The 17,301-nt window shown below is 43.3% G+C and overlaps 1 protein-coding gene across 6 annotated transcripts, besides 5 other annotated features; it reads left to right on the forward strand.

Moving 5' to 3' along the window:
* Nucleotides 5,490–6,241: an enhancer, noted in NCBI's record as "NANOG-H3K27ac-H3K4me1 hESC enhancer chr18:57566317-57567068 (GRCh37/hg19 assembly coordinates)". NCBI's record gives its function as "activates a minimal SCP1, AML or CMV promoter by ChIP-STARR-seq in naive H9 embryonic stem cells {active_cell/tissue: H9 hESC(naive)}" and the evidence as "EXISTENCE:reporter gene assay evidence [ECO:0000049][PMID:30033119]".
* Nucleotides 5,490–6,407: a biological region, named in NCBI's record as "NANOG-H3K27ac-H3K4me1 hESC enhancer GRCh37_chr18:57566317-57567068".
* Nucleotides 5,998–6,407: a silencer, noted in NCBI's record as "silent region_9497". NCBI's record gives its function as "represses an Ori minimal core promoter by ATAC-STARR-seq in GM12878 lymphoblastoid cells {active_cell/tissue: GM12878}" and the evidence as "EXISTENCE:reporter gene assay evidence [ECO:0000049][PMID:35858748]".
* Nucleotides 6,401–10,710, forward strand: PMAIP1 (phorbol-12-myristate-13-acetate-induced protein 1). Of its 6 annotated transcripts, none has more exons than NM_001382616.1 (3): nt 6,401–6,640; nt 6,833–6,983; nt 9,052–10,710. In NM_001382616.1, exons 1-3 carry the CDS (start codon nt 6,583–6,585, stop codon nt 9,251–9,253), a joined length of 411 nt encoding a protein of 136 aa, NP_001369545.1. In that variant the 5' UTR covers nt 6,401–6,582; the 3' UTR covers nt 9,254–10,710. The 6 variants fall into 6 exon arrangements, with proteins under 6 accessions (NP_001369545.1, NP_001369547.1, NP_001369544.1 ...); NM_001382618.1 differs by having other exon boundaries at nt 6,833–6,977; NM_001382615.1 differs by having other exon boundaries at nt 6,833–6,850.
* Nucleotides 6,558–6,767: a silencer, noted in NCBI's record as "silent region_9498". NCBI's record gives its function as "represses an Ori minimal core promoter by ATAC-STARR-seq in GM12878 lymphoblastoid cells {active_cell/tissue: GM12878}" and the evidence as "EXISTENCE:reporter gene assay evidence [ECO:0000049][PMID:35858748]".
* Nucleotides 11,231–11,400: an enhancer, noted in NCBI's record as "active region_13422". NCBI's record gives its function as "activates an Ori minimal core promoter by ATAC-STARR-seq in GM12878 lymphoblastoid cells {active_cell/tissue: GM12878}" and the evidence as "EXISTENCE:reporter gene assay evidence [ECO:0000049][PMID:35858748]".

Here is a 17,301-nt window from a genome sequence, read left to right on the forward strand (position 1 = left end):
CCTCCCAGGTTCGAGCGATTCTCCTGCCTCAGCCTCCCGAGTAGCTGGGATGACAGGCCTGCACCACCATGCTCAGCTAATTTTTGTATTTTTAGTAAAGATGGGGTTTTACCATATTGGCCAGGCTGGTCTCGAACTCCTGGCCTCAGGTGATCTGCCCACTTCGGCCTCCTAAAGTGCTAGGATTACACGCATGAGCCACCACACCCGTCCCAAATTATAAAGAGGATGACAAATGTATGTGCCAACAGCATGGGAAATGAAAATACCTAGGATGATGTAAATGTAAAAATAACTGAAGAAAAAAAAAAAGAAAAAATGTATATATAGAACTTTTTTTAAAAGGCAGTTGATACAAGGAGATGCTATGGCTTAAATCGTGTCCCCCAGAAAAGATATGTTGAAGTCCTAGACCCCCCCCCACCCAACAAATTATAAATGTGAGTTCTTTGGAGATAGGGTCTTTACATATGTAATCAAGTTAAAATGAGGTTTTACTAATTTGTGGTGAACCCTAGTCCTATGACTAATGTTTTTATAAGAGGAAATTTGGACACAGGCACACAGGGGAGAAGGTCATGTGAAGACAGGCAGAGAGTGCAGTGATGCACCTACAAGTTAAGGAATGCAGGCCGGACACGGTGGCTCACGCCTGTAATCTCAGCACTTTGGGAGGTCGAGGTAGGGGGGATCTCCTGAGGTCAGGAGTTCGAGACCAGCCTGGCCAAAATGGTGAAACCCCACCTCTACTAAAAATATAAGAATTAGCCAGGTGTAGTGGCAGGTACCTGTAATCCCAGCTACTCAGGAGGCTGAGGCAGGAGAATCGCTTGAACCCAGGAGGCAGAGGTTGCAGTGAGCCGAGATAGTGCCACTGCACTCCAGCCTGGGTGACAGAGCGAGACTCCATCTAAAAAAAAAGAAAAGAAAAGAAATGCCGGGACTGCAGGCACCCACCAGAAGCTAGGAGAGGGAGGGAAGGATTCTCCCCTGGAGGCTTCAGAAAGAGCATGCCCTGAAGGCACCTTGATTTTGGACTTCTGGAGTGCAGTGGCATGATCTTGGCTCACTGCAACCTGATCTCGGCTCACTGCAACATCTGCCTCCTGGGTTCAAGTGATTCTCCTACCTCAGCCTCCCAAGTAGCCGGGACTACAGGCGTGCACCACCGCCTGGCTAATTTTTGTATTTTCAGTAGAGACAGGGTTTCACCATGTTGGTCAGGCTGGTTTCGAACTCCTGATTTTAAGTGATCTGCCCACCTCGGCCCCCCAAAGTGCTGGGATCATAGGCACGAGCCACCGTGCCTGGCCTGAGAGAATACATTTCTATTGTTTTAAACCACCCAGTCTGTGGTACTTTGTTACAGCAGCCCTAGGAAGCTAGCATAGGATAAAATGTCAATTATAATGATGCTGAAACAAAAAATCAAGACATGTTCTACCACAATGTGGTTCTACCCTAGTCAGGAAATATGGGAGTTTTAATAAGATAGGTTGAAACAGTGACTGTCTTTGCTGACACTGCCATTTTATACTAGAATTACCACAATATTTTTACAAGTCACACTGTCTTGGGTCTTAGCTTGGTTAATCTACTCACACTGCAGTCAGAGTGACTTTCTAGAGTTTTATTACATCAACTACCTGCTAAAAACCTTCTGTAATTCCCTATTGCCCCCACGATAATATCCAAACTCCTCCAGTGGCTTTTCTCCCCATCACTTCTCACCACTCCTGACCTCACACTGCTGTCAGTCTCTGCCGAGAATGTCCTTCTTCCCTTTGGTTGGTGTGATTGCTTGGCCGACTTCTATTCGAGCCTCAGGTCCCTATGTTGATGCCCTTTCCTACTGATTGCTCTCCCAGGCAGCCCTGTAATCTGCTCTAATTTCCCTGGCTCAGGACTGACACACATCTTATTGCACCTGCTGGGTTACTCTCTATATCACCCTCTGGCCTTGCTACTCAAAGTTGTCCACAGAGCAGAAGCATCAACATCGTGACAGTTCACGAAAGATGCAGAATCTCAGGTCCAAGCAGAGCTCCAGAATCAGATGCACATTTTAAGAAGATACTCAAGTGATTCTTATGCACATGAAATTTCTGAGTTACTGGTCTCTCCACCAAAGATTGCATAGGGGCAGGGAGCATTGCCTTCCCTTGGCCTAGCTCAATGTCTGTCTTTTTTTTTTGTTTTTTTTTGAGACGGAGTCTCGCTCTGTCGCCCAGGCTGGAGTGCAGTGGCGCGATCTCAGGTCACTGCAAGCTCCGCCTCCCGGGTTCACGCCATTCTCCTGCCTCAGCCTCCTGAGTAGCTGGGACTACAGGCACCCGCCACCATGCCCGGATAATTTTTTGTATTTTTAGTAGAGACGGGGTTTCACCGTGTTAGCCAGGATGGTCTCGATCTCCTGACCTCATGATCTGCCCGCCTTGGCCTCTGAAAGTGCTGGGATTACAGACGTGAGCCACCGCGCCCGGCCTGTTTTTTTTTTTTTTTTTTTTTTGAGATGAGTTTTGCTCTTGTTGCCTAGGCTGGAGTGCAATGGTGTAATCTCGGCTCACTGCAACCTCCACCTCCCGTGTTCAAACAGTTCTCCTGCCTCAGCCTCCTGAGTAGCTGGGATAACAGGCATGTGCCACCACGCCCAGCTAATTTTGTATTTTTAGTAGAGATGGGTTTTCACCATGTTGGTCAGGCTGGTCTCGAACTCCTGACCTCAGGTGATCCACCCACCTCGGCCTCCCAAAGTGCTGGGATTACAAGCGTGAGCCACACTGTGCCTGGCCTCAGTGTCTGTCTTAAAGAGAGATTTTTTTTTTTTTTTTGAGACAGAGTCTCACTCTGTTGCCCAGGCTGGAGTGCAGTGGCGCCATCTCGGCTCACTGCAACCTCCGCCTGGGTTCAAGCGATTCTCCTGTCTCAGTCCAGCCTCCTGAGTAGCTGGGATTACAGGATTACAGGCATGCACCACCACGCCCGGCTAATTTTTGTATTTTTAGTAGAGATGGGGTTTTGCCACATTGGCCAGGCTGGCAGACTCCTGACCTCAAGTGATCTGCCTGCCTCGGCTTCCCAAAGCGCTGGGATTACAGGCGTGAGAGATATAATCCATCAAATACTCTGGCTAATTTCCTGTTAACAAACATGCTATACAGGAAAACAACAACAACAAACACTTTTATTAGAACAAACACAATCGATCTACAGCCTGTATATTTTATCCCAGGCTGACTCTACATATGCCTCATTTATATCTCATGTCCTCTTGTTTAACTGTCAAATCCTATTTTCTGCAAGAAATATATGAATGACTATTCTATTACTAATCATGCTTATTTTGTTTTGTCATTGTGGTTCATATATATATATAGATACGTATACATTTTTCTTTTTTTAAACACTGACATCGAAATGATCAGATGTGCACTGTCATTTTTGAACTTGTTTCACGAGAAAGGATTATCTAATAGTTTTTTAAAATGTCATTTTCACCAGTCCTACTTAAAAAAAAATAGTAGGGAATTCTAACGCTTCATGATACATTTTTATTAATTATTTCGTTTGGTCAAATATCTCCATGTTTATATTTGTTGCAAGCCCAACATTAAATGATACCTCCCTTTTCCAGAGGATATACAGTTAAAAGAAGCTATTCACTCTGCTTCTAGCTTTTTTTTTTTTTTTTGAGACAGGGTTCTCCCTTTGTCGCTCAAGCTAGAGTGGAGTGGCTCGATCATAGCTCACTGCAACCTCCTCCTCCTTGGCTCAAGCAATCCTCCCACCTCAGCCTCCTGAGTAGCTGACACTACAGCTTATACTTGTATTATCTGCAGAGACAGGGTTTCACCATGTTACCCAGGTTGGTCATCAACTCCTGGACTCAAGCGATCCCCCAGCCTCCACCTCCCACAGTGCTGAGATTACAGGCGTGAGCCACTATGCCTGGCCAATTCTCTTTAGAGAATGTTAGATCTGCCAAAGAGTTTATGGACCATCTCAAATCCTAAATCTTTAAAAGTCCTCTATAAACCAGCTGAATCTGACCCATGTCCAAAACCCACCTCGCCCGACTTCTTTCCGCTCTTTTCCTCCTTGCAAGCTGAATTTGCAATTCCCTAAAAAACAGAGTTGCCTAAGGTTTGTAGCCAGTGTGAGTCACATGACCAATTCTTTTCTAATGAAAATGTTAGAGGATGGGATTAACATACCTTTTATAGGTAAACAATGTTGTGATTCACTTTTTTTTTTTTTTTTTGGTGGTTGTTGAGTATATTCTCTGCATTTCAGGGTGCGTATTTGAACGACAGAAATTTAATAATTTATGCAACCAAAAAGTTAACGGTGTTCCTTATGTATTAGGTAAGTCAAAATGAGCCTGGAGTGGTTTTGAATTACCACTTGGGGATAATAGATTTCAAGGCAGCATCTCCAGTGTGCTTCCTGCGTCTTGTGATGATTCCTAAATTCTGTCCACTTTTACTCGTTTGTATATACCCCATTCAAAAACAGCCAACATCAGCCTCGAAACTATGTTGTTTAAACTCAAGAGCAGTTTTGTTCCATGCTTATATTGTTGTCCATACCTTCAGCAGGACCAAGCCATAAATAAATACTTGCTGGTTTGTGTTGACTGAATGATTTAAGATAAATAAACAACCTCAAATGCCTACTGAGGCCAGATAATGTAAATGGGAAAAGCAAACAGCGGGGAGTGTGGTGAACAGGAGCACCCTAGGTTCCTCTAAAGGGTGTGGCTTCGACCACACTTCAAACCTAGTTTGCACTTTTGGAAAATGGATCCCACGTTGTCAGAGATTCTGGTTTTCCAAGAGATGCTGGAATCTGGGTTTTTCATGCAATCCCTCAATGTTTAAAATGTTGGTAATCAATTCAAATTTTTACAATACATTTTGAAGGCCAATACTGTAAACCAAACTAAGCACTTCTAGGGAGCCCATGCAACGAATTTGCAATCTTTTCATTAAACAGCACAGCTAATATGAAAACACGCTTTTTTTTTCTTTTTCTTTTTTGAGACAGAGTCTTATTCCGTCACCCAGGCTGGAATGCAGTGGCGCGATCTCGGCTCACTGCAACCTCCGCCTCCCAGGTTCAAGCGATTCTCGTGCCTCAGCCGCCCAAGCAACTGGGACGACAGGCGTGCACCACCAAGGCCGGCTAATCTTTTGTATTTCAGTAGAGACGGGGTTTCACCATATTGGCAAGGCTGGTCTCGAACTCCTGGCCTCAAACGAACCACCCGCCTCGGCCTCCCAAAGAGCTGGGATTACAGGCGTGAGCCACCGCGTTCGGCGAAAACACACATTTTCTAAGAAACTGATTGCTGGGAAGGCTACAGTGGGTAAGAGCTCTTGCTCTCTGTGGGCCTGCCTGGTTCGGAATCAGGGCAGTGCTCTCTGCCTAAGTGAACTTGGGCAATTTTCTACAAACCTCAGTTTCTGCACCCGTAAAGTAGCAACGGTTGTTCTGAGGACGGAATGAGAAAATGCATGTCAAAGTCCTTAGCATGAAGCGGCTCTCAGTAACCGTTAACCACTCCTAATTACTCCTCTTCATAATAGTAGAATTACTCATGGCCTCGCCAAACATTATGCAAATAATTTCACGTTCCCAGGTAGCTCAGCCCTCCCACAAAAGATTTGAACGTTTTCCATATGATAACGATCCACTCGTTTTTGCTAAACATCCACAATGGGCGATATCGACCTATCTGGAAGGACACACACAAATCCCTTCCCAACTCAAACACGATGTTCTTTCTGGCTGGCACCAGGGCTTCTGTTTGCAGTGACTTCCTGGGACCCGGAGCTTTCTCACAGGGCCTCTGGCATCTCCTCTGCGGTGATTAAGGTTCTTCTCATTTCCCTTCCCTGTTACTGCCCATACTCTTCAAGTTCGAAAAGTTTCCTTTTCCAATCTCTTTTCTGGGCTTGTTTACCCAAGTCTCTAATTGCCAAGGCCTCTGGTCTCTCCCCACCCACAACGTTCCTCCTGGTTAAACCCTTCCCCTCCCGCCACTCCCAGCTCCCGCCACTCCCAGCTCCCGCCACCACTGCCGCTGACGACGTCCAGCGTTTGCAGATGGTCAAAGCCGACCCCCTTCTCCTCCCACCTCGTTTTGTAAGGAAGTAATTTCGGGGCCGAGCGCTCTGCGCCCCCCGCCGCGGGTCGGCGCCGCCGCGGGTCGGGAGCGTGTCCGGGCAGGTCGCGCTCAGCGGGGTACTTCCCCGCCCGCGTCCCGCGTCCGCTCCCATAACGCCGTCTGCGGGGCGGGGACAGGGGCGGGGACAGGGGCGGGCCGGGCGTCTAGTTTCCCTACGTCACCAGGGAAGTTCTCACTGGACAAAAGCGTGGTCTCTGGCGCGGGGATCTCAGAGTTTCCCGGGCACTCACCGTGTGTAGTTGGCATCTCCGCGCGTCCGGACACCCGATCCCAGCATCCCTGCCTGCAGGACTGTTCGTGTTCAGCTCGCGTCCTGCAGCTGTCCGAGGTGCTCCAGTTGGAGGCTGAGGTTCCCGGGCTCTGTAGCTGAGTGGGCGGCGGCACCGGCGGAGATGCCTGGGAAGAAGGCGCGCAAGAACGCTCAACCGAGCCCCGCGCGGGCTCCAGCAGGTACCGACCCGCTGGGGCCAGCGAAGACCCAGGCCGGGCGGGGTCGGGGCCGGGGTCGAGGTCTCGGCTGGGGCGGGCTCAGCTCGCCGGGGCTCAAGCACAGACTGCACGGGGGTCAAGGTCGGGCCAGGTCTGTGCCCTGGCGCGAGCCTTAGGGGCGCCTCCAGAAAGTTCTTCGGGGTTTTTCCCCAGGACCGGCGGGTACGGCGGGTACGGCGAGGGACCAAGCCGGATTTGCGATTGGGATGCAGCTGCGTTTCACCAGGGGCAAAAAGCTCCTTTCCTCCTCTCTTTCCTCCTCGCCACTTGCCCTTCCCCGGGGCCACGAGGAACAAGTGCAAGTGTAGGCGGCTGTCTCTAGGAGAAAGTCATTGTCGCGGCAGAAGGGGCAGGAGAGAGCCCCGGGGACCGCCTGGACTCCCAGCGCTTCCAGAGACGGCCCCACAAGGGCCCCTGTGTTCAGGAGCCTAGAAAATCTTGTAACATTTAAATAATCGATATTGTGGGAGGTGGGGATAGGAGAATAGGAGTTAGTCCGCTCCTTTTTTTCATTCATTCATTCGCACTCCCCACCCCGATACATACAGCTCCATCGTAAGTTTTCAGGCCAGCGCCCCGGCCCCATGCTTTTTCTAAATCTAAACAGAGAACCCAGTCACTGCCCAGAGCCCGAAGTCTGTGTGGGCCATACTGCTGTTGCATCAGACGATTATACGCCCCCCCCACCTTTTAAGTTACTTTCATTTTATAGAGCTCCTGGGGCGTGCGAAGGAAGTGGTGCATTGCAAATGTGACCATGCCTAAGTTGGTAACAGGCTGCTGTCTCTGGCGCTTGTGTGGGATGGAAAAAGCTTTGTCTACCTTTTGTGATGTCTTAGGATTCTGACCTTGTTTCTTTCTGAAGGATCTTACTTATGCATAGCACTTTCTGGTCCGACTTAATTCCCAAGAACAGGAAGCAGCACAAAGTCCCTCTTAAACTTGATTTGATTGATACTAATACATTTATAGGTGTGTAATGCAATTTTTAAAAAATTAAGGAAATGACCGGGAAGTATTTTCTGCCTTGTTTTCTACATTTTTGGTGAAAGGGATAACTTTTCCACTTAGAATTCAGGGCTTCCAGTGTCGGACGCTGAATGGTATTTGGTTTTTCTTTTAGAACTGTATATTAATATATCTCAATCTCTGTAGACAACATGTCTATGTAAATACTTCCCAACATATTTGATCTTGTAGCCCATAAAGAATAACACCTTAAGGGATTTATTAGGTCTCTTGGTGTAGGAGTTAGGAAAGATTTCACTCACTTCTTGTAGAGAGAAATTGGTTGAAATATAGGTTTAAGATTTTGCTTTACTATATATTGACAGCTTTGATTTATTTTGAGCCTAAATACGGTATTTTCAGGGTCGATTTATAAAATAGACCAGATTTTAATTTGTAATCATGATTTTTTAATGTTTGTAATCATGAAGTGTACCCGAAAGACCTCAAGCTGCTCTTTGAAATATTCAAGAAAATTGAAATTATAGTCAGTATAGATACGATATTATAGTCAGTATAGTGTTAACTGCACTTACTGAAAAAAAGTGTACTTGGAAATTATAAGCATCATTTTTCTTAATATTCAGTTAGAATAACTCAATTCCAAAAAGTAGTAAACATGTGAATTAAACATTGCTTATTTTCTGCTCCTCTCATTTCCATAAAGGCAATGGATTGGTACATAATGGGGTTATAGGAAGAAGTGGGTTTACATTAAAATAGAAATGTTTAAATTATTTTAGAGAATGTGGACTTAATTTTAGAATAAGATTTTATGAGTCTTTTATGAAAAAATATCAGCGTTTTTTAACGAGAAAAAGAATACCTCTAGATTTGCCTATATAATGAGAGTATAACCTAAGCTGTAAATTATTGCCATTTGAAAATCAAATCCTACTTGAAAGCCACACAGAACTTGACTTCTGTTTCCCAGCCAACCTTAAATGAAGAGAAAAAGATGACATCATCTAAGGCTGGTGACTTATGCTACTCTTTGTAGCATTGCTTTTAAAATAAACAAAGTGGTTTTACAATGTTCTCACATCCCAAAGAATGATAATGCTACTCTTTGTGGTATTTGACATATTTGAAAGTAAGGTAACACTTGCCTCATCCAGGATGCGTTTTTTAAAAACTCAAAGTAAATGTCTTTATTCTTACCTTAACGATTGCTTTCGGTGAGTCACAATGTGTGTAAGTGTGTGTGTGTGTCACATTTGGAAAACAGGTGCACATAAAGCCAAAGTTAAGAGAAATGCTTCCTGGGATACTCAATTTGTCACTAGTGTGGGCGTATTAGGTTTTGCTGGTTACAGTCTGTAATATCATCAATGTTCATGTCCATGTTTTGCTTTCCTTCTCAGAGCTGGAAGTCGAGTGTGCTACTCAACTCAGGAGATTTGGAGACAAACTGAACTTCCGGCAGAAACTTCTGAATCTGATATCCAAACTCTTCTGCTCAGGAACCTGACTGCATCAAAAACTTGCATGAGGGGACTCCTTCAAAAGAGTTTTCTCAGGAGGTGCACGTTTCATCAATTTGAAGAAAGACTGCATTGTAATTGAGAGGAATGTGAAGGTGCATTCATGGGTGCCCTTGGAAACGGAAGATGGAATACATCAAAGTGAATTTCTGTTCAAGTTTTCCCAGATTATCATTCTTTGGGATGAGAGAACATTATAAAACCACTTTGTTTATTTTAAAGCAAGAATGGAAGACCCTTGAAAATAAAGAAGTAATTATTGACACATTTCTTTTTTACTTAGAGAATCGTTCTAGTGTTTTTGCCGAAGATTACCGCTGGCCTACTGTGAAGGGAGATGACCTGTGATTAGACTGGGCGGCTGGGGAGAAACAGTTCAGTGCATTGTTGTTGTTGCTGTTTTTGGTGTTTTGCTTTTCAGTGCCAACTCAGCACATTGTATATGATTCGGTTTATACATATTACCTTGTTATAATGAAAAAACTCATTCTGAGAACACTGAAATGTTATACTCAGTGTTGATTTCTTCGGTCACTACACAACGTAAAATCATTTGTTTCTTTTGACTCAAATTGTATTGCTTCTGTTCAGATGATCTTTCATTCAATGTGTTCCTGTTGGGCGTTACTAGAAACTATGGAAAACTGGAAAATAACTTTGAAAAAATTGGATAAAGTATAGGAGGGTTACTTGGGGCCAGTAAATCAGTAGACTGAACATTCAATATAATAAAAGAACATGGGGATTTTGTATAACCAGGGATAATAAAAAGAAAAAAGAAGTTAATTTTTAATTGATGTTTTTGAAACTTAGTAGAACAAATATTCAGAAGTAACTTGATAAGATATGAATGTTTCTAAAGAAGTTTCTAAAGGTTCGGAAAATGCTCCTTGTCACATTAGTGTGCATCCTACAAAAAGTGATCTCTTAATGTAAATTAAGAATATTTTCATAATTGGAATATACTTTTCTTAAAAAAAAGGAACAGTTAGTTCTCATCTAGAATGAAAGTTCCATATATGCATTGGTGAATATATATGTATACACATACTTACATACTTATATGGGTATCTGTATAGATAATTTGTATTAGAGTATTATATAGCTTCTTAGTAGGGTCTCAAGTAAGTTTCATTTTTTTTATCTGGGCTATATACAGTCCTCAAATAAATAATGTCTTGATTTTATTTCAGCAGGAATAATTTTATTTATTTTGCCTATTTATAATTAAAGTATTTTTCTTTAGTTTGAAAATGTGTATTAAAGTTACATTTTTGAGTTACAAGAGTCTTATAACTACTTGAATTTTTAGTTAAAATGTCTTAATGTAGGTTGTAGTCACTTTAGATGGAAAATTACCTCACATCTGTTTTCTTCAGTATTACTTAAGATTGTTTATTTAGTGGTAGAGAGTTTTTTTTTTCAGCCTAGAGGCAGCTATTTTACCATCTGGTATTTATGGTCTAATTTGTATTTAAACATATGCACACATATAAAAGTTGATACTGTGGCAGTAAACTATTAAAAGTTTTCACTGTTCTTTTCTGTGTGTTAATTTTGTCTTCATCTTGTAAGCTACTAATTACTAAGTGTTCATTATCAAGCCAAAGTATTTTAACTGATTTCCATCAGCAGACATCCTCTGACCTTCTGACCACACTGTCTCCTCCCAGTAGTTGGAGTAGAAAATATAGGGGAGTTTGCATGATTTCTGCTCTCAAGGGACTTACACTTTAATTGGGAGGGGAAATAGTGAAAAATAGGAAATGAATGCCCAACATAGGTCCTTTTTTTTTTTTTTTCTGAGACAGAGTCTTGCTCTGTCGCCCAGGCTGGAGTGCATTGGCACAATTTTGGCTCACTGCAACCTCTGCCTCCTGGGTCTAAGTGATTCTCGTGCTAAAGCCTCCCCCACACGCCACCACACTGGGTAATTTTTGTGTTTTTAGTAGAGACGGGGATTTCACCATGTTGGCCAGGCTGGTCTTGAACTCCTGGCCTCAAGTCATCTGCCCGCCTCGGCCTCCCAAAGTGCTGGGATTACAGCCTATACAGATTCATGATCTAATTAGAGGTGTTTTGTGAGCTGGCATCCTTGACTGCTCCTGGGTCTGTCTGGCAAGAGGAGCTGCAGTGCAGTTTCCTTTTTGGTGACCTCACGCTTCTTCCTCTGCTTCCAGCCGTAGAGTAGCAAAGATTGCTTCATCTGAGGTTAGTCATGTGCAAAAGTAGGTGTAACTCAATGGCCTTCCTGTTTGAGTGTGAGAACTAAAAGATACCCCTAGTTTTTAGCTTCAATCTGGTAGCCACATCTTCACCCCACCTCTGCCAAGGGAAAGAGTCAGCTGACACCTTAGAATGTAAATTGCCTTCCTAACATGGGAAACGTGAGGGAAGAAGGAGGAGTTACTAGAGGAAAAGAAGAACCAGAGAGCTGGAGGATGCAGGGTTATGGGCAAGATACATAACAATCTGGAGGGAGAGGCTTTTCTCTGGGAAAGTGGGGTGGAGGTGGGAGCTTGGCTTCAGAAAGGGTGGGGACAAACTACATGATTTGATTTGAGAATCACTGGAAGAGTAACTCCTGTCTCTGAGCCTGCTCGCATAGCCAGAATTGTTTTGCTAAAAGTGCACCTTATTAGTTCTCGCCACCACTAGAAAACAAGGAAAAAAAGTGTACCTCAGGCTCTTCTTTTATATAAAGAGTAGCACATGAAGGCTTAGGCACAGATTCACAATCTTCAGATATTAGAGCTATATATTCTTTGAGAACCATATTTTAATGTTAAAAAATGTCCAAGATGTTCAGGCAATTCTAATTATATCTGTTGACTGACAAAAACTGCTAGCTTTTAAATTTGCATTTATATTATAAAAGAAAATGTATCTATCTGTGAATAAGTTGTTCTTCACTTTAAAGAACTGTGTGCTGTGATTTGGGTTTTGGAATCCATTGCAATAACTCTACAAACTCCTCCCTGCCCCACTTCCTCTCAATCACGGAGCAGAAACCACCTAAAGGGTCAAAAATCCTGTAAATCTCATTGTCAATCGTCAAAGGGGACGATCCATCAGGAAGAGAACAAACACCTTAAAAATAGAATAGTGACTGGAAGTGCTGCGGTACAAGGAGTATCCCACTTTAGAATCTTGAAGGTGGACTTTCAAGGCAAAATCATGAATGAGCTGTGTGACCTTGGGCAAGACAACCTCTCTGAGCCACAGTTAATCTCTGAAATTGAGACTTAGATCATCTTTAAGGTCCCCTGAAGTTTGAATCATAAAATGGGATGGCAAAGGAGTCTGAAGGTCTCCCACCATAGTTCCAAGTCTGTCGGCCCCCACTCCTGAGCTCATTTCAGACACTAAGAGGAAAGTTAAGGGTTTGCAAAAAGAAGCAGGGGAGTGGGATTTTAAAAGACCCCCCCCCCCAAATTTCTGTTTTCTGGATTCTTCCCCCAAACATTGATTCTAAATCTTAGAGGAGGTTGAGTGGGAACCTCTTGGACTTGTATTTTCTTAGAAAGGGGAGTTTGCTATGCATGCAAGCTTTCCCAGTGATTGTATCACTGCCAGAATTCCTTCTTATGTGGAGCTGAAAGTAGATAGGGTCACTTGATAGACATACCCTGCGGTGTCATCACGTGAATCTTCTCAAGTAATAGTTCATGGTTAAAGAGCAAAACATTTGTCAATACTGCCCAGGCACTAACTTTAGTTTCTCTTTTAAAAACTTTCAGAAATCTGTTTAGCCAATTCAGGGTGAAACATTCATGCTCACGATTTATTCCCTTATGGTTTTCTTCCAAATATACCATTCTTCAAATCACCAGAGAAACAGGAGAGTTGGTAAGAGTTATAGATGGGGATTTTGGATTCTTTAATTTATCAAGTAATTAACCACATGCTCTGGGCACCTCCCAACCACCCCCCGCCCTGATACAGTCCATGTAATCTATGCTGTCTGCCATTAGACATTGCTCAGTGCGAGAAGCCTCAGCTTGGATTTACACTGTGCAATAAGATAGAATAGAACAACATAGAATGTGCAAATAACTCCTTGATATTTCTTGTGTTTTAGGAAAATGCCTCTATTGTTCTTCTCATGCTCTCTCACTATGATCTCTAGCAGAGCCTATGACATTTGCCCATTTCCAAATTCACATCTTTACTCAGCCATTTTCAAAACGACTATGTCCCTCTCCCACAATTGTCATTGTCATTGCCTCTGGCTTCAGAATTGTCATTTCGCCACTTTGTGCAACTCTGGATAAATATTTGATCTCTGTTTTCTTATAAACTGGTCTAAAATATATCTATTTCAAAGCATCATTGAAAATCAAATGAGATGAGATGAATATAGTGCCTGGCTCACAGTCAGTGTCCAGTAAGTGTGAGTTAACTTTCCCGACAAGATGGAGGGAGGGTTAGAGGTTAGCTTTCCTACAAAGCTATGGAAGATCTTACCCAATTAAGGTTGTTAGACTGAAATGAAACCTTTCAAAGGAAAGACGTTTGAAACGTTTCAAATGAAACCTTTCAAAGGAAAGCAGTGGTGGAGCTGGAGGGGAAGTGGCAGTTTTTCCCTTGATGAGGTCATCTGCTTTTAATTTATAAACTCTTAGTAATGGTAAACCGTTTTTTTTTCTTCACCTGGTATACAACAGCTTTCACAAGCACTATTGAATTGTCCAAAGCCCCTTGCATGTATTCATATAAAAATTCAGGTCCTGATTTACATACATTTCAAGAAGTAGAAAGAAAGTTCCGGTCTAGTTATTTTTGACTGGGGTAAGGCTAGATTTGGGTACAGTAATTTTTCAAAAGGGAATCTTGAAATGCTCTCTCTGAGATAAGACAAAAAAAAAGTGTTAATTTGGAAAACACAGGTCAAACCCCAGCTGCCTTTGTTTTTGGCTTTATGGAGTCAGTTGCACACATTCACAGGGGTGCAACACTGCTACGTTAACACTATACTCACATGACTCATATATACTTATATATACATGTATGTACGTATATACACATATGAGTATATACTAATAGAACAAAACTTCCACTAGATAAATACTACTCACTGACAAACCCATCATGTGCCAAATACTTTAGAAACATAACTTTATTAATCCATGTGGTGCTCAGACACTCCTATTCGGAAGGTATGATTATCTTTTTCATTCTAGGAAGCAGCCTCAGAGAATCAGCAGTGTCCTCAAAGTCCCAAAGTAGTCGATTGGCAAATGAGGAAAAGTCACAGGATTTGAACTTGGGCTTTTCTTTCTTTTTTCTTTTTTTTTTCTTTTTTGAGACAATCTAGCTCTATTGCCCAGGCTGGAGTGCAGTGGTGCAATCTCAGCTCATTGCAGCCTCCATCTCCTTGGTTCAAGCGATTCTCGTGCCTCAGCCTCCTGAGTAGCTGGGATTATAGGCTCACACCACCACGCCTGGCTAATTTTTGCATTTTTAGTAGAGACAGGGCTTTGCCATGTTGGCCAGGCTGGTCTTGAACTCCTGACCTCAAGTGATCCGCTCTCCTCGGCCTTCCAAAGTGCTGGGATTACAGGTGTGAGCCACCTCGCCCGGCCTGAACTTGTGTCTTTCTGACCTCAAAATTCTTTTATCTTCCTACCACAACGCGACTGCCTCCCAGCGTGGGGCTGGAGGCAGGATCCCCGTCCCAGAGCAATGCTAGTTTGTTTTCCATCCTGAGTCTCATTAATTACAACCAAGGTTTACACCTCTGGGTGTTCCGAGGAAGGCTGATGATTAAGCCAGCTGATAGGCAAAAAAAAGACTGATCATTGCAGCCCCTATTTGCACTCATCTGGTATAGGGGCTTTCCAATCTGCAGCAATAAATGAGACTAACCCTATAAACTGTCTCAGGTTAATCCAAGAAGGTAGGTAGAGCAAGCCAGTCAGGCACAGTCAGGTGGCATCTCACTCCCGGAGGGATCTTGTGGTGGAGGAGAACAGAATTAATTCTGAAAGAAACAGCATTCATGGGCTCGCTTTTTACCAACTTAAGCCAAAACAGCACCTACTGAGACGGACCTGCAGGAGCTATTTGTAAATGGAAAGAAAAGTATTAAAAGAAGCCGTCAAAACAGCAACGGGTGTGTTTTTTCGGCTCCCCTGCAGTATCCACCCTATTTCAGCAAGTCTAGGCAGAAGTCAGGAAGGAAGATTAAATGGCTGCCACTACTTTAAAAAAAATCAAACAACAGAGAACATCTAGACTAACCAGTGTATGTTTGTGATGATTCATTCTGGACAAGTGTTGGGAACCCATCAGAAATCAACGGGTGGTTATATCGTGAAATCCTCTGGTTTTAGAAAGCCTGCATTTGTAGTAAGAGATTCCCAAATGCTGTCTTCAAGAAATACGCATTTATTGATTCATCAGGAAAACACTCCCCTTTTCCTATCTGAACAAAAATGACAATACAGCGCTGGCCACTGAAGTGAGAAAACAGCTCCTTCAGCCCTTTCAAAATCTTTACTGATGTTATATTAAAATAAACAGGTTTCTGAGAACTAGAAAGTCAAGACTAGAACTTTAACTTTCAAAATGTCATTATAGAGGAATAGAAGGAAGTCAGGCTAATAACTTTTCAATGACTCCTGAGCTACCCTGCTATTCAGAGACCTTTCCCGGAGTCTTGGAAAGCACCTAGTCTGGATGATAAATCTAGACTTTTTTTCTGAACTTTAAATTAACGTAAACAAGGACAAAGGGCAGTAACAAGGCGTCAGTGTGTTACTTACCAACCATACTATTTTTAGAATAAGTTGGCTAACTTAAAAAGTATGTATACTTACTTAAAACACACTTTCCTGTAAGTTTCAACCCACGTTATCTTACACTTACCCTGAAATTTTTTCTTTAAAAATATTGTGGGAGGCCACAGATATTGGCCCTTTTCTTTATGAAAGCATTTTATTGTTTCATCCTTAATGAATATGGAAATTTCTTTGGTACCGGCTTGCCTCTGACTGTCCCGCTTTTAAAACTGAAAGTCCCTTGGCCAGATGCCTGTGGCTGATACCTGAAATCCCAACATTTTGGAAGGCCAAGGCAGGAGGATCACTAGAGCCCAGGAGTTCACGACCAGCCTGGGCAACGTGGTGAAACTCTGTCTCTACTAAAAATCCAAAAATTAGCCAGGCGTGGTGGCACGTGCCTGTAATCCCAGCTACTTGGGAGGCTGAGGCACCAGAATTGATTGAACCAGGGAGGCAGAGGTTGCAGTGAGCAGAGACCGAGCCACTGTACTTCAGCCTGGGTGACAGAGCGAAATTCTGTCTCAAAAATAAATAAAATAAATAAAAACAGGCTGGGTGTTGTGGCTCACGCCTGTAATCCCAAAACTTTGGGAGGCTGAGGTGGGTGGATCACCTGAGGTCGGGAGTTTGAGACCAGCCTGGCCAACATGGTGAAACCCTGTCTCTACTGAAAATACAAAAATTAGCCAGGCATGTGGTGCTGCACCTGTGGTCCCAGCTACTCGGGAGGCTGAGGAAGGAGAATTGCTTGAACCCGGGAGGTGGAGGTTGCAGTGAGCCGAGATCGTGCCACTGCACTCCAGCCTGGGAGACAGAGGGAGATTTCATCTCATAAAATAAAATAAATAAAAATATATATATAAAAAAAACTGAAAGTACCATGTCCTGGAAATGCTCTCATTTCCAGGCAAATCAAGTGAGTCACCCTTGTAAGGTTGTAATGTGATTCCATGTGAAACGTTAGTAGATTTAACCCTAAGAATCTACATCTAAGTAGCTATATCCTACTAACTTTTTTTTTTTTTGAGACAAGGTCTTGCTCTGTTACCCAGGATGGAGTGCAGTGGCACAATCTCAGCTCACTGTAACCTCTAGACTCTTGGGTTCAAGGGATTCTCCTGCCTCTGCTTCTCTAGTAACTGGGATTACAGGTGCGTCCCGGCACACCCAGCTAATTTTTGTATTTTAAGTAGAGATGGGGTTTCACCACGTTGGCCAAGCTGGTCTCAAACTCCTGACCTCTGCCCATTTCGGCCTCCCACAGTGCTGGGATACAAGCATAAGCCACCACACCCGGGCCCCCACTTACTTTTTTTCACCACTTTTGACTCAGTTTTGAGAAGGA

The sequence above is a fragment of the Homo sapiens genome, chromosome 18 (genome assembly GCF_000001405.40).
Source record: "Homo sapiens chromosome 18, GRCh38.p14 Primary Assembly".
In the NCBI taxonomy this organism is placed as follows: Eukaryota; Metazoa; Chordata; class Mammalia; order Primates; family Hominidae; genus Homo; species Homo sapiens.